Below are 14,052 nucleotides of genomic sequence, written 5' to 3'. Positions count from 1 at the left end.
ATGTGGAATAACATTCATTGTTATTTTTAGATAGTCTTTTTCATATTTAAGTGGTTCCTTTTAATCCTATTACTTTAGGTTTTTACTAGAAATGGCTCCAAAATTCATAACAAATGCCTCTTCTACATCTATTGAGATGATCATATAAATTAGGATTATAAATTTCCAGTTACTGGGTCATTCTTGCATTACTGGAATAAACCCAACTTGGTTACAGTGTATTATTCTTTTGTTTCATTGCTGAGATCCATTTATATTTTATGTAGAATTTTTACATCTCAAATCCTGAGTGAAATTAATCTACAGTTCTTATGTATATTATTCAGGTATTCATATTAAAACTATGCTGGTTTCATAAAATACACTAGGGAGATTGTGATCTTTTACTAAGGTCTAGAATATATAATATTAATACTATCTGTTTCTTAACGTTCAGAGTGAATTAAGCTGTAAAACCATCTCATTCTGGTGTCATTTGCAATGCCTTTTGTGGCAATTGGCCTACCCAAAATTTCCATGTCTCTTTGAGTCAATTTTGATAATTCATATTTTCTAAGTAATCATTGGCTTCATCTAGATTTTCAAATTTTATTTGTCTTATCAAAATCCAATTTTTTATAGCTGTAAGCTTTAAAAAATATATGAAAAGAATTTTAAAAATCCAATTTTAAAATGTATTTTTCCTTTTACGGTTTTTTGTATATTTCATTAATATTAGCTTTTGTATTATTACTCCAGCTAATAAAGAATTCCTTTATTAGCTTTTATTTTCTTTTGTTTTCTAATTTCTTAAGATGGATATTTATTTCCTGTATGTTTTCTTTAATACTGGAGACATTTAAGGCCAGTCTTTTATTTCCTAAGTATAGCTTTTGTTCTGTCTTGTAATTTTTGGTATGAAGTAGTCTCATTTCCATTGTTTTTGAGATATTTGTGATTTTATTTATTTTTATTTTTTGAGACAGGGTGTCACTCTGTCACCCAGGCTGGAGTGCAGTGGCCCAAGCACAGCTTACTGCAGCCTCAACCTCCTGGGGTCAAGTGATCCTCCTGCCTCAGCCTCCCGAGTGGCTGGGAGTACAGGCGTGCCACCTGGCTATATATATATATATTTTACTTTTTATACAGACAGGGCTTTCTATATTGCACAGGCTGTGATTTCCCGTGTTTTTTTTGTTTGTTTGTTTTTTGTTTTTGAGATGGAGTTTCATTCTGTCACCCAGGCTGGAGTGAAGTGCTGTGATCTCAGCTCACTGCAACCTCCACCTCCCGGGTTCAAGCAACTCTCCTGCCTCCTGAGTAGCTGGGATTATAGGCATGTGCCACCACGCCAGGCTAATTTTTGTTTTCAGTAGAGATGGGGTTACTCCTCGTTGGTCAGGCTGGTCTCTAACTCCCGACCTTAGGTGATCCAACTGCCTCGGCCTCCCAAAGTGCTGGGATTATGGGCGTGAGCCACCGTGCAGGTTTCATCATGTTGGCCAGGCTGGTCTTGAACTCCTGACCTCAGGTGATCCGCCCACCTTACCCTCCCAAAGTGCTGAGATTACAGCTGTGAGCCACCGAGCCTGGCTGATTTCCCTTTTAATATCCTATTTGATAAAAGGTTATCTAGAGTTATGTTTCTTAATATCCAAGTTGTTTAGATTTTTAGGGGTCAAATTTTTATTATATTAAATTGTGTTCAGATAACGTGGCCCATAAAATCATTAAAGGTTTTTCTTTGTGGCCATGCTCATGACTGAGTTGTGTAACAGTTCCTTGGATACCTGAAAAAATATGTACTTTTTATTAGAGGGATGTTAGTCTCTCGATCTATCTGTTAATCAAATTTGTTGACTACATTATTCTATTCATCTTATATTTGTTTATTAGAGCTGTCCAATCCTGATGGAGGTTTTTTGAAATTTCCCACAATAATTGCATATACATATATACATATATATGTACATGTATACCAGTGTATATATACATGTGTGTATATATATATATATATATGCTACAATATGCTGTTGTCTGAAGAATATAGCACTCTCAGTCATTACATTCTGACTAATATTAATATTGCCATTTCTGCTTTCTTCTTTTTTATTTTCTTGATAATTTCAAAATTTCTTCATTAATTTCACTTTTTCGTATAAATTGCACATTTCTGGGTTTTGTTTTGTAACCCAATTTAATAGTCTTGCCTTTTATTGAGAGAATGCATCCATTTACACTTAATAAATGACTGATAACATTCCTTCCATATTGCTTTACGTTATTATTTATTTTGCTTTGTTTTTTCTCTCCCTTTTATTTTGATATCTTGATCAAATTGTTATTTATTTTCTTTTTTTCTTTGTTAATTTAGACATTATACTGTTTCTATTAAAGGTGACTTTTATTTTCTTTGAATTCATTTTCTGATTTAAATAAAAATATCAATTATTTACATTAGACACCAACATGTCTAATATATGGTTCAAATATTTCCCCCTAATATATTATCTGCCTTTTGATTGAGCTTTGAATAAGGCCTTGACAGAAGCGTACTTGAGCTTATACTTTTAAATAAATATCCCAAATGCAGTGTTTTATGTTATGTTCCTGGTTAGGTACAGAAGTATTACATCTGATAGGCAGTTGAGCTTGCAGTAAGTATGACAGCCTCTTTTCAAAACTGAAAAGCCTAATGGAAACATATAGAAGACATAGAAGGCTACCCATCTAGAGTGGGTCTAGGTTATAGATACCCAGAGGCAGAATCAAGATTTTCCTCAGAAAGTTTTTTTTTTAAATTGTTGTATTATATAAATGAATGGGTAATCAAGGGTGTAATGTTGTACGCTGGAAGCACAATTGCAAGAAAATTAACCCGGGAAAAACTTAAGCAGATGCTACCACGTGTTTAATTTAGCAATAAAGAAAACACCCTGCAATAAAGCACAAATAGAAGGTTCTATATAGAGAATAGTAAAGGAAGACCACTGAGCTAAACTTTTCCCCACACAATGGGTCAATGGAATCTCTCTTGCTTTTAATGAATAAGTCGTACCAACAAACAAACATTTTTATACTAAGTTATGTCTGTCAGGCACTCTTCTAAGTGGTTTACTTACATTAACAAGTTTGCCTATAATTACATAATGATCCTCTGGAGTCAGTACTGACATTTGGTCTCCCTCAGTTTGCTTTCTTTGGCCAAGGAAACTAAGACTCTGAGAGGTTAGTTTGCCCAATAGATTACGTACTTATACAGCTATAAGTGGTGGAGCTGCAAATTGATTCCAGAAAAGCTGGCATCAAAGACCATGTTTCTAAACGTTAGCCCTTATTGCCTAGTTATAGAGTTCATTTTCTTACCACCATGTAAAACACTCACATTTGTGTAGGCACATAGTAGGCTCTCAATTTGTATCTTATTGTTACTTATTTGTTGTTTGTTTGAAGAGACTACACTTACCCCCAAGTCTGAAGAATTAAATTTATAAGCAATATTCCAGCCCAATATTCCGTAATTTTTTCTTTCATTGATTACAGCATTGAAAAAACATAGGCTAAATAAAAGTTTTTTCCACCATTGTCCACAGTCAGGATTTTCAAATATCTCTTCTGTTACCTCTCCACTCCCAGTACATCCAAATGTCTGAAGTAAGTTACTTTTCAATCCCTGGGGAGATTCCACGGCAATCTTGAAAACAGATGTGAGTAAAATGGCATGTGAGGACAGATGCAGGCACTGGTCTTCAGGGCACTTGTCTTTCTACAACACTGGTAAAAGAACTGGGCAAGAATGTAACTATTTTCAAGATTCACTGGCAAATCCAAAATCTCATGTTATTCTTTTGCCATGTAAAAACGTCTCTAAAAGGATTGTCCCAGATTTTCTATTGTTCCGATTCATATTTTGAAATGGGAAGTATAATGTTGTGATTAAAAGCACTCTTATTTGCTCAGAGCATAGGGCTTGGGATTTTAGGAACTTTGACAATGAAGAGTTATGAGAGCCTAAACTTAGTGTCAATGGCAGTTATGAGGCTGTAACAGGACCCAGGCTGCATGGCCTCTGCGAGGTAGCAGATACAGAGGGTCCCACATCATGGGAAACAGCACAAACTGAATCAACAGCAGCTTCAGCACTAACTGAACCATCAGAAGGAGAACAATTAACTGGGTGTGTTACAAAATTTCTTTGATTGCATTGAAAGTCCATTTGGTTGACTTCTTAACTAGAATAATGGAAATGATGCGAGACTGAGGGTGAGGTGGGGAGGGAATCAACTGGAGGGCTTTTTTGAGAGTGTGGCTGTTAAGTCTGAAATTGTGAAGGGTCTGAAATATTACCCTCCTTGCACAGTTTATATATATAAACACACACACTTACATAAGTTGTGTGGGTATCTATATATGATATATAAATGTATGTATATATGTATATATGGCATAGAGCTGTGTGTGTGTGTGTGTGTGTGTGTGTGTGTGTGTGTATGAACATGAGACTTTTGGATCAGGGATCAGATTCCCATGTCCTGTGTGTGTATAGTGGGATTTGTACCATAAGAGGAGGACTCAAATTATGAAACTTGGAGCTTACAGAATGGCTGGCAAAGCAGCCTTTCCTCTTTTCAGAGATAGAGAAAGAGAGACAGACTTTTGCTTTGGAATGTAAACAAATCTTCTCGGGGAAAAGAGGAGGTCTCTAGGTTTTTACAACCCCTGGAGTGTAAGCAAATGGCTCTAAGTTTTATCACCCTGAGAAGGTAAGTGGCTCCAGGAGATGGAAGACAAGCTTCTCTGACTCTGTCACCCTTAGAATGTGAGCAAATGGCTCTGTGCACAGTAGAGGACATATTCTCTATTTTCCAAGGCATGTCTGCCTTTCAAACATCCTTTAATTCAGGTTGCCAGCAATTGTTGCTTAGCCCTAATTGTGGAGAAATGAGAAAATATTTATCGAGCACTGTTTCCCGACTGCTATGACTGATTCTTTAAAGAACTCATTCTCATATCTCTAAAAGTAGGTGTCTGTCCGCCTTCAGAACTATATCTGAAGGGGAAAGTGAGTGGAAGGAGGGCAGAGAGAGAGAGAAGAGAGAGTGTGTGTTAATTTTGATTTTTAGTGATAGCATACTATTTTATCACACAAATACATCATAATTTATTTGGCCTTTTCCTAGAAGTGGGCCATGATCAAATTGTATGAAATTTATAAACACTATCTCTATACTGTGAAATTACCTTCCTTTCTGGATTAATATCTCCCTGATATTACCTTGTCAGCATTATGTGAGAGTAGTTATTTCATTATATCCTTAATAGCACTAACTATATCATAGTTATAGTCTTAGCCAATTTAATGCAGTTTTTGATTTGTATTTTTCTGATATCTAGAGGCTGAACTTTTATTTTTAAAATGTGTTTATTGACCTCTTGTGTCCTTTGCCCATTTTGTATGGAATGTTAATGTTTTTCTGACTTATGTGTAGGTGCTCTTTTAATATATCAAGAAAATTATCATCTCTGTCTGTATAAATAATGGCATATGAAAAACTCCCATAAAGTTTTATGTATGCACTAATTATAGCCACATTTAAAATGCTGATGGAGACTTAAAGTGGAGGTGGAGCGATGGACTACTTAAGATGAAATATTCCCTGAAGCGCTATTTCTGTCCCTCTCTGACACCCTTCATTCCCCTACCCCCAGTACCTCCACCCCCCAATTCCCCTCTCCTGACCAAAGATTAAAGGCTGTCTGAGAGCATGGTCTGCTGCTCTCTGGGAGACAAGTGGAATCTTTCGAGTCTCAGACTAAGAGTTGTGGGTTTCTCCAGTCCCTGTTCTGTCTGCCCCAGGAACCGGGATGTTGGGAAATGGCTCAGTACTGTCAGTTTGGGTAGATACATACAGGAGACGGGCAGAGCTGAGAAGCAGTGTGGCAGGAAGTTTCTTAGGCTGGATTGGGGCTGTATCTGGAAAGTGCCTCATCCACCTGATTTTCTCCATGCCCACCCACTTCTGTGAAAGCTGGTAGTGTGCACGTGATCGGGAGTCTGGGTACCCCCTTCTGCCTATGCCATCGGTCAGTTTTCTCTGCTGTTAGGACCCCACCTTTTGGTCAACTGGACCCTGGTCTAATAGAATTGACTGTCTTACTATTTATTCAGCCTCAATAGTGGATATGAGAAGTCCCAGATAATCTTTAATGAGGACTTTTTAGTAAACAGTTTTAGCCTGCTTTCTGTCAGACCCTTTCTAGAGAATTAATAATAAAACGGTTAAGTAGGGCAGAAATAAGAAATGCTAGAGAAGTGAAGGGCAGGAAAACAACACAAATTGTAAATTTTGCTTTATAATAATTGGAGGTCTAACATCCTTGTTTGAGCAAATAACATATAAATTGTGAATTCCTTGTAAGTAGGAATCTACTTTAGTGTTCTTCCTCATCCCCAGTATAGGGTTGAGCACAAAGCAGAAATTTAGCATTTCAGAATTTATCAGAATTAGCTTTCTCTTTTAAACTCAGAGTTTTGAATGTAAGATGACTTGCATTCAAACAGGGCTCCTCAGTCAACATTAAATCTGTTATACTTTGTTCTTACCTTTAAACCCTTTTTAAGAACAGGAATTGGAAAAGAACTGTATGATTTTGAGCTTAACCATAGCCGAAACTCAGGGTCTATTGTCACGTTTGGACTATTAAAACTGCAAAATAAAAAATTTATAAATATTTTAATGTGAAAAATGTAAACCAACATGTTTTTAGAATCATAGCATTTCACTGTTTGAAGTGGCCTTACGAATCATTTTAATACTGAAGATCTTACTGTATTATCAGAAGAGCTTCCATGTTGCGCAAGAATTTGCACACGACCCATCAGTTACATTTTAAGAGTAGCTTTCTTTCCCCTAAGTACAAAAAGTGATCATATACTCATTGCAAAAAATCTGGAAATAATTACAAATTAAGAACAAAATGAAGAGTTCTACTGATTGAATTTGGGACAATTGAATGTCAAAATAAATGATGACGGTAAACAATTATAATCCTTGAATAAAATAGAAATCCATGAGACCATACTGATATAAATAAATAAATAGAGGGAAGAGAAAGAAAAGCTCTTCCTGTATAGGAGAACATCATTAAATAAATTTAGAAGAAGTTGTGGAGTTAGAAAGCTACCTTTTGGTAAACAATATAGTAGTAATTCAGTCAAAAATTATCAATGAACTTTAAAAACCAGTAGGTGAAAGTTTAATGTCTGTACATGGTCTGAAAGTTCCCACAAGTGGCAGAAACCACTTTAACCAAGTGACCAAAGTTAATATCACCAGTAATGAGACAGATTGATATCACAGGCCTCTTGATATGATGTACCAAGAATGAGATAACATTACTTCAATGATATTACTACAATACTGCATAGCCTTAATCTAACCGTAAGAAAATATCAGCTAAAACCCAATTGAGGGACACTTTACAAAATACAGTCAGCCCTCTATATCCATAGGTTCCACATCCATGGATTCAACCAGCCTCACATTGAAAATATTCAGGAAAAAAAATTTCAGAAAATGTTAAGGTATTGCTGACTCGTACTAGGTAGTTAGGCCTACAATGTCTGCATCTGTACTGAACCTATACAGACTTTTTTCTTTGTAATTATTTCCTAAACAATACAGATTAATAACAATTTACACAGCATTTACTATGTATTAGGTATTATAAGTAATCTAGACATGAGTTAAATTATACAGCAGGATGTGTGTAGATTATAGGCAAATACTGCACCACTTGATATAAGGGAATCGAATATCCAAGAATTCCAGTATCCACAGGGGGTCCTGGAACCAATCCCCTGTGGATAGTCAGGGACCACTGTAACTAGCTTGTACTTTTCAAAAATATCAAAGTTACGAAAGACAAAGGCAGACTGAGGAACTATTATAGATTAAAGGAGATTTAGGGTATGGTGGCATGCACCCATAGTTCCAGCTACCTGGGTGGTTAGGGCAAGGGGATCACTTGAGCCCAGGAATTCAAGTTCAGCTAGGGCAACATAGCGAGACCTCACCTCTAAATAAACAGACAACAAACAAATAAAATACTTATCAGGAGACTTAAGAGACATGAAAACTTAATACAATGAGAAATCTTGAATTGAAACTTTGGCCAAAACTTTTATTCTATTTTGATATAAAAGATATTATTGGGACAATAAACTAAACATGAGTAAATAATCAACAATGAACACTGAACTATTTAGGGGTCAAGTGGCAACATGTCTGCAATTTACTTCCAAATGATTCAGAAAAATATTACATATATATGAGAGAAATGATAGGGTAAATGTTAAGAATTTGGAGATAGAGATGAAGGGTATAAGGGAGTTTTTGTACTGTTCTTGCAACTTCTCTGCAAGTGTGAAATTATTTTTAAAAAATTTGCAAAACAAACCAAATCATTACAAGGAAAAAAAAACACAATACAAAATGAAACAGAAAGCAAATATGGCCTGTAATCCCACTAAATGAGTTTAGGTACACTTTTCTCTTTTGTTTTTTCCTCCTTCTGCCTCTCTCTGTCTCTCATTTTAAAAATAATTATGCTGCATATTTTGTTTGTAGCTTTTTATTTTTTCTCCTAGCAATATGTTGTGAACATATATCACTAACTCTTAAGAAATGTTTTTTTCTTCACATTTTCCTCTCCTACTGTGGACTGGTAGAGTGGTCATCTTAAATATCTAAAGGCTTGATTTAATAAAGAAGTATGAATTTCTTTTTCTTTTTTTTGATAGTAGCCTTTTGGAGGTGATATTTCATTTTGTTTTTTAATAGGCTGGACTTTGGCTAGATCACTATGGTTTTAGTTTGCATTTCCCTAATGATTAGTGATGCTGAGCATTTTTTTTTTTTTTTGAGACTGAGTCTTCCTCAGTTGCCCAGGCTGGAGTGCAGTGGCACAATCTCAGCTCACTGCAACCTCCACCTCCCGGGATCAAGCGATTCTCCTGCCTCAGCCTCCTGAGTAGCTGGGACTACAGGCGTGTGCCACCACGCCCGGCTAATTTTTGTATTTTTAGTAGAGACGGGGTTTCACCATGTTGGCCAGGCTGGTCTCAGACGCCTGACTTCAGGTGATCTGCCTGCCTTGGCCTCCCAAAGTGCTGGGATTACAGGTGTGAGCCACCGCGCCCGGCCCGGAAGTACGAATTTCTTTTAATAATACTCTGATTATGTTGAATATTTTTAATGTATCATTAATTACTCTTATTAAGACTGAAATTCTGTTCTAAGGAATGTTTCTCTAATTTCTTTTTTTTATTAGCACAGTGTTAACCTGCCATACTATTGGCTCTTTTCACCTTAGTATCCTCTGGAAAGCTGCTACAGTGTTTGCCTGGTCCGTGGTGTGTCCCCTGTGCCTAGCACAATACTTGACAAATAGCAGATGCCCTATAAATAGTTTTTGGATGAATAATGAATGAAAGACATGGCAGAAATAATAATTTGAAAGTTTATATCTATTAAAGTCATGTAACTAAGCAATCTTTGTCTTCTGATTCTCTTAAGTCATGAAATAAATGTGAAAAAGAGAAATTATATAATAGTATTGATTGATTGATTGATTGATTGTTGTAGAGATGGGGTTCACTCTGTTGCCCAGGCTGGTCTCGAACTCCTGGCCCCAAACAGTTATCTTGCCTTGGCTCCCCAAAGCATTGGGACTATAGGCGTGAGCCACTGTGCCCCGCTGGTATAGTTTTTAAACTGCTAAAATAATAACAATCTGATAACTCATGAGTGACATCAGGAAAGTTTTTAGAAATTTAAGTCATGCAGTTGCATTTTGGTTTTATAATTTCCTTGTGCATGCTCAAAGCATAAAAATAAAAATAACAGCATGAAGAGACAGACTCTCATTTAAACAATTTTACCACAGGATATTGGCCATGAAAAGTAAAGAAGAAAGAAAACCAAGGCTGGAGAAAAACTATAGAATGTAATTGGTTGAAACATCATTGATTCAACACATTGCTAATTCTTCACTCAAATTACAGCAATAAACTTTCAAATGCTTCCACTGCAAACAAGAAAGCTGAATGTATAAAAATTTCTGCATGAGTGACTAAGTGCTTTGGGAGGTACAGCCTAGAAAAGTATTTTGAGCTAGAGAAAGTCAGAATAGATACTAAGCAAAGGCCATAAAATGAATCATCACCAAAAGGATAGATATGAGGTATTATGCTCTGCTGTTTGGAATCACATCGAATATTAAAAACTATGTATCCATCAGTGCATATAATGTGTGTGTATGCTTATATATCTATTGAGAGTAAGAGTTTGAGGAAAGAAAGTGATAAACAAGACAGAGAACAAAAACTGAAGAGGCCTTAAAAAGATAAAAACTGATGTATTCTTAGTGTAGTTTTCAAGTTCCTGGAGAAAAGAAAACCAATATAAGATAGGTTAAGTTTCATCTGAGTGGCTCAGCACATTATTTTGCTATTGTTTACACACAGTATACATTGACATTTCCAGTTTTACTTTATAGTTTTGGTAACCAATCTGATCCCTTACAGATAAATGTAAAACTCTTACGATTCTACAATTGTGCAAAGCCTTGGCATAAATGATGTTGCAAGATGGCAGTTCTGGAGGAAGACCCATTGTTGTGTTTTTGTTAGTGCCTTTAAAATGAGGTCTTCAGCTTTAGCTGCTTGGTCACGGCCCAGAGAAATTATGGTCACATGATGTGTTGTTCCTTTTAACTCTTGTGCAAATCTCAGGAGGATATTGGTAAGGTCGATCCCTGTATAACAACGTGGAGAGGTATATAAAACTGTAAGCTCATTTAATTCCCTTTTAAAAATCACAATCCAGCATTTATTGAGTAGTGTTGGGAAAAGGTATAGTCATAGCGGAAAGACTACAGGTTTTGAAATTAGAGCCCAGAGTTTAAATTTTGGTCCTGCCACTTACTAGCCTAACACACGAGGATGATAACAATATCTAACGACAGCAGCACCTGCTGGTTGTCTTCTCCGACATCTACCTGTCCTTTCCTCCTCTGTAGCTGTACCCCAGTGTTGTTCGAGATGGCTGTATACTCAGCTAAAATACTACATTTTTAACTTCTGTGGGCATCTAGGTTTTGTGATAGATTTTGGCAGCAAAATTTTGTTAGCAAAAGTGTTGTGTAATACTCAATAGCAAAGAAATGGAATCAACCCAAATGCCCATCAATGATAGACTAGATAAAGAAAATGTGGTGCATATATACCATTGAACACTATGCAATCATAGAAAGGAATGAGATAATTTCCTTTGCAGAGACATGGGTGGAGATGGAAGCCACTATCTCAGCAAACTAACACAGGAACAGAAAACCAAACACTACGTGTTCTCACCTATAAGTGGGAACTGAGCAATGAGAACACATGGACAAACGTGGGGGGAACAACACATACTGGGGCCTGTTGGAGGTTGTAGGGAGGGAGAGCATCAGGATAAATGCTAACGCATGTGGGGCTTAATACCTAGGTGATGGGTTGATAGTTGCAGCAAATCACCATGACACATGTTTACCCTATGTAACAAACCTGCACATCCTGCACATGTATCCTGGAACTTAAAATGAAACAAAATTAAACTAAAATAAAAGTGTTGTATAATACTTTGGATATCTCCTTAAAGGGAGGATGTGTGCCTTTCTTCCTTGCTTCCATTCTGTTGTTTGGAACGTGAATATGATGGCTAGAGCCCTAGCCACCATCATGGGCTAAGTCTTCAAGAAATGGATAGTACCTACTATGAGTGTGTCAGGCATCTAGCCAAGTGCTTTGCATGGAAACATTCCAGGTGAGAAGCCTCCAGGTGGAGGCACTCCAGATAAGGTTTTATGTAATAAAATCAAAGTTTGAAATGATGAATTCTAAAGACACATTTGATTTTTGGAACAGAAGATAAATGAAGAAAATATTTTGCTTGGGAGAAAATATTTTACTTCGGATCTGTAGTGCAAAGACAAGAAAAACAAAAAAAAGCATTTGGAGTTTTGAGGAATACAAGGGCTGGAGAGCAGGGACAATTTTTGATAGTTTATTTTGTAACATATTTTTGCACAAGTCAGTGTTTATTAAACACGTGCATAGACATAGACATAAGGGCGAGTCCAACTTCCAGAGCAACAGTATGTGTTTGCAAGGTATTTTCTGTGCAGAAAATCACCATTGATAAATTTTTCATTTGTGAATCTGAGAGGTTTTATTCCTCTTTGTTGTATCTTTAGAGAGATTTATTCTTAGTATAAAGTTGTAATTAGCTCCTTTTCCAAAAATTTTAAATAGGACTAGGAAAATATTTTAAACACAGAATAATCTGACACAGAACCTACTTCTCCATATCTCTTGGCTGATATTGTATCATCATTGTATTAGTCTGTTCTCACACTGCTATGAAGAAATACCTGAGACTGAGTAATTTAAAAAGTAAGTAGGTTTAATTCGCTCGCAGTTCTGCATGGATCTTTACAAACTTTAGGAAACTTACAATCATGGCAGAAGGCAAAGGAGAAGCAGGCACCTTCTTTGCAGGGTGGCAGGACGTAGTGAGTGCCAGGAGGGGAAATGCCAGGTGCTTATAAAATCATCAGATCTCAAGAGACTCACTCACTATCATGAGAACAGCATGGGGGGAACCATCCCCATGATCCAATTACCTCTACCTGGTCTCGCCCTTGACATGTGGGGATTATGGGGATTACAATTCAAGGTAAGATTTGGGTGGGGACACAGAGCCAAACCATATCGATCATCTTAACTATTCACAAATAGCTTACCATGAGTTTGAATAAGTATCAGCGGAGTTCTGGCATTGGATCCTTTATATGCATCTTTCAAATTAACTCCAGTTCTTTGAAGATACTTATTTCCCATTTTTTCAGTTATAAACTTTCTCACTGAATTGTTTAAACTTTCTGGTCTAAGAACTTTTACCTAAAAAAGAAAACATGGAAGATAAGGTAAAATTAAAAGCCACCCAGAGAGATATTCCCTATGGTAAAATGAAACAAAAATAAGAAGTATTCATTTTTTAGCTTTTCAGCCAGAGTTTTCCTGTTGAGGAAGCTTAATGGGACAGACTATGCATGGAGGAGAAACCGCCACCATGTTCCTGTGGCCATCATGTGGCCCTTCTTAGATACCAGCGCTACCTGTGCCTCTATGTCTTTCACACTCTGAGTGAGCTCTTGCTTTGTTTGTAAAGATCCAAGTTATACTCCCTAATTCTGCAAAAAGAAATTTTTTCCCCTCGGTTTTCTTCCTGCTCTGCTATACATGTCTAGAGCAAGAAAACCCCATGGTGTTGGAGGGATGAAAATACAGGATGACACAACTGGAAAAGTATTAATTCTTCCATTAATAAAATGAAAACAAATGGCACAATCTTTATATGTTTAAGCAATTAGAATACAAATCTGAAAAGAATGCTAGATGGACTAAAAGATTTTGGAAACAGTATAAATGCATAGTAAACAGAGGTTCAGGGTATACTGGAAATCATTGAAAATTTCAGAGGAAAGACCTTTCCCATAAAAACTGTTTTATACAAATCACTTACATGATATTTGTCTACACAATGACCATAAAATATGTCCTGAACATGTTCAACATCTGGGACTCCATCATTTAAAGCAAAACTGAAGCTACACACGTCAGTGTGCCTGTTTGATGTACCAGGTTGGACCATGGGAAGTTGCCATTTTTACCTTTCAAAAACTGTCAAATATTGGCAATATGTTTAACACAGCACATTTAATCATTATGCTGAATTCTGCTCTTTTCTGTTATGTTTTGGAAAAATTATTCTTAAAATTTTCTTTTAATTATATTTTTAAAAATGAAAAGAGGCAGCACACAAAGACTCTAGGTCTAATAGCAGAGTTCACTTAGAATACCCAGTTAGTGAGACAGTGTTAGAATCGTTGAGTGAAACAAATGATTAGGTGTTTCCCCGATACCATCACTGCAGACAATCTATGCTCCCAAATGGTCAACATAATTTT

At 36.4% G+C, this 14,052-nt stretch overlaps 1 protein-coding gene across 25 annotated transcripts in view; it reads right to left on the bottom strand.

The window, feature by feature from the left end:
• Positions 1–14,052, bottom strand: part of DNAH14 (dynein axonemal heavy chain 14) — a 469,633-nt gene that overhangs the window by 27,809 nt on the left and 427,772 nt on the right. For 23 of the 25 annotated variants that reach the window (XM_017000296.2, XM_011544065.3, XM_011544069.3 and 20 more), the window contains 4 exons: positions 12,826–12,982; positions 10,587–10,797; positions 6,584–6,686; positions 3,446–3,673 (listed from right to left, as the gene is read on the bottom strand). In XM_017000296.2, coding sequence (XP_016855785.1) covers positions 3,446–3,673; positions 6,584–6,686; positions 10,587–10,797; positions 12,826–12,982 — 699 coding nt within the window. The remainder of the gene's footprint in view (positions 1–3,445; positions 3,674–6,583; positions 6,687–10,586; positions 10,798–12,825; positions 12,983–14,052) is intronic. The other 2 variants (XM_011544062.3, XM_011544067.3) reach the window with 2 other exon arrangements.

The sequence above is a fragment of the Homo sapiens genome, chromosome 1 (genome assembly GCF_000001405.40).
Source record: "Homo sapiens chromosome 1, GRCh38.p14 Primary Assembly".
NCBI lineage: Eukaryota > Metazoa > Chordata > Mammalia > Primates > Hominidae > Homo > Homo sapiens.
Note: the sequence above shows the minus strand (reverse complement) of the source record. Positions and strands in the feature narration are given on the sequence as shown.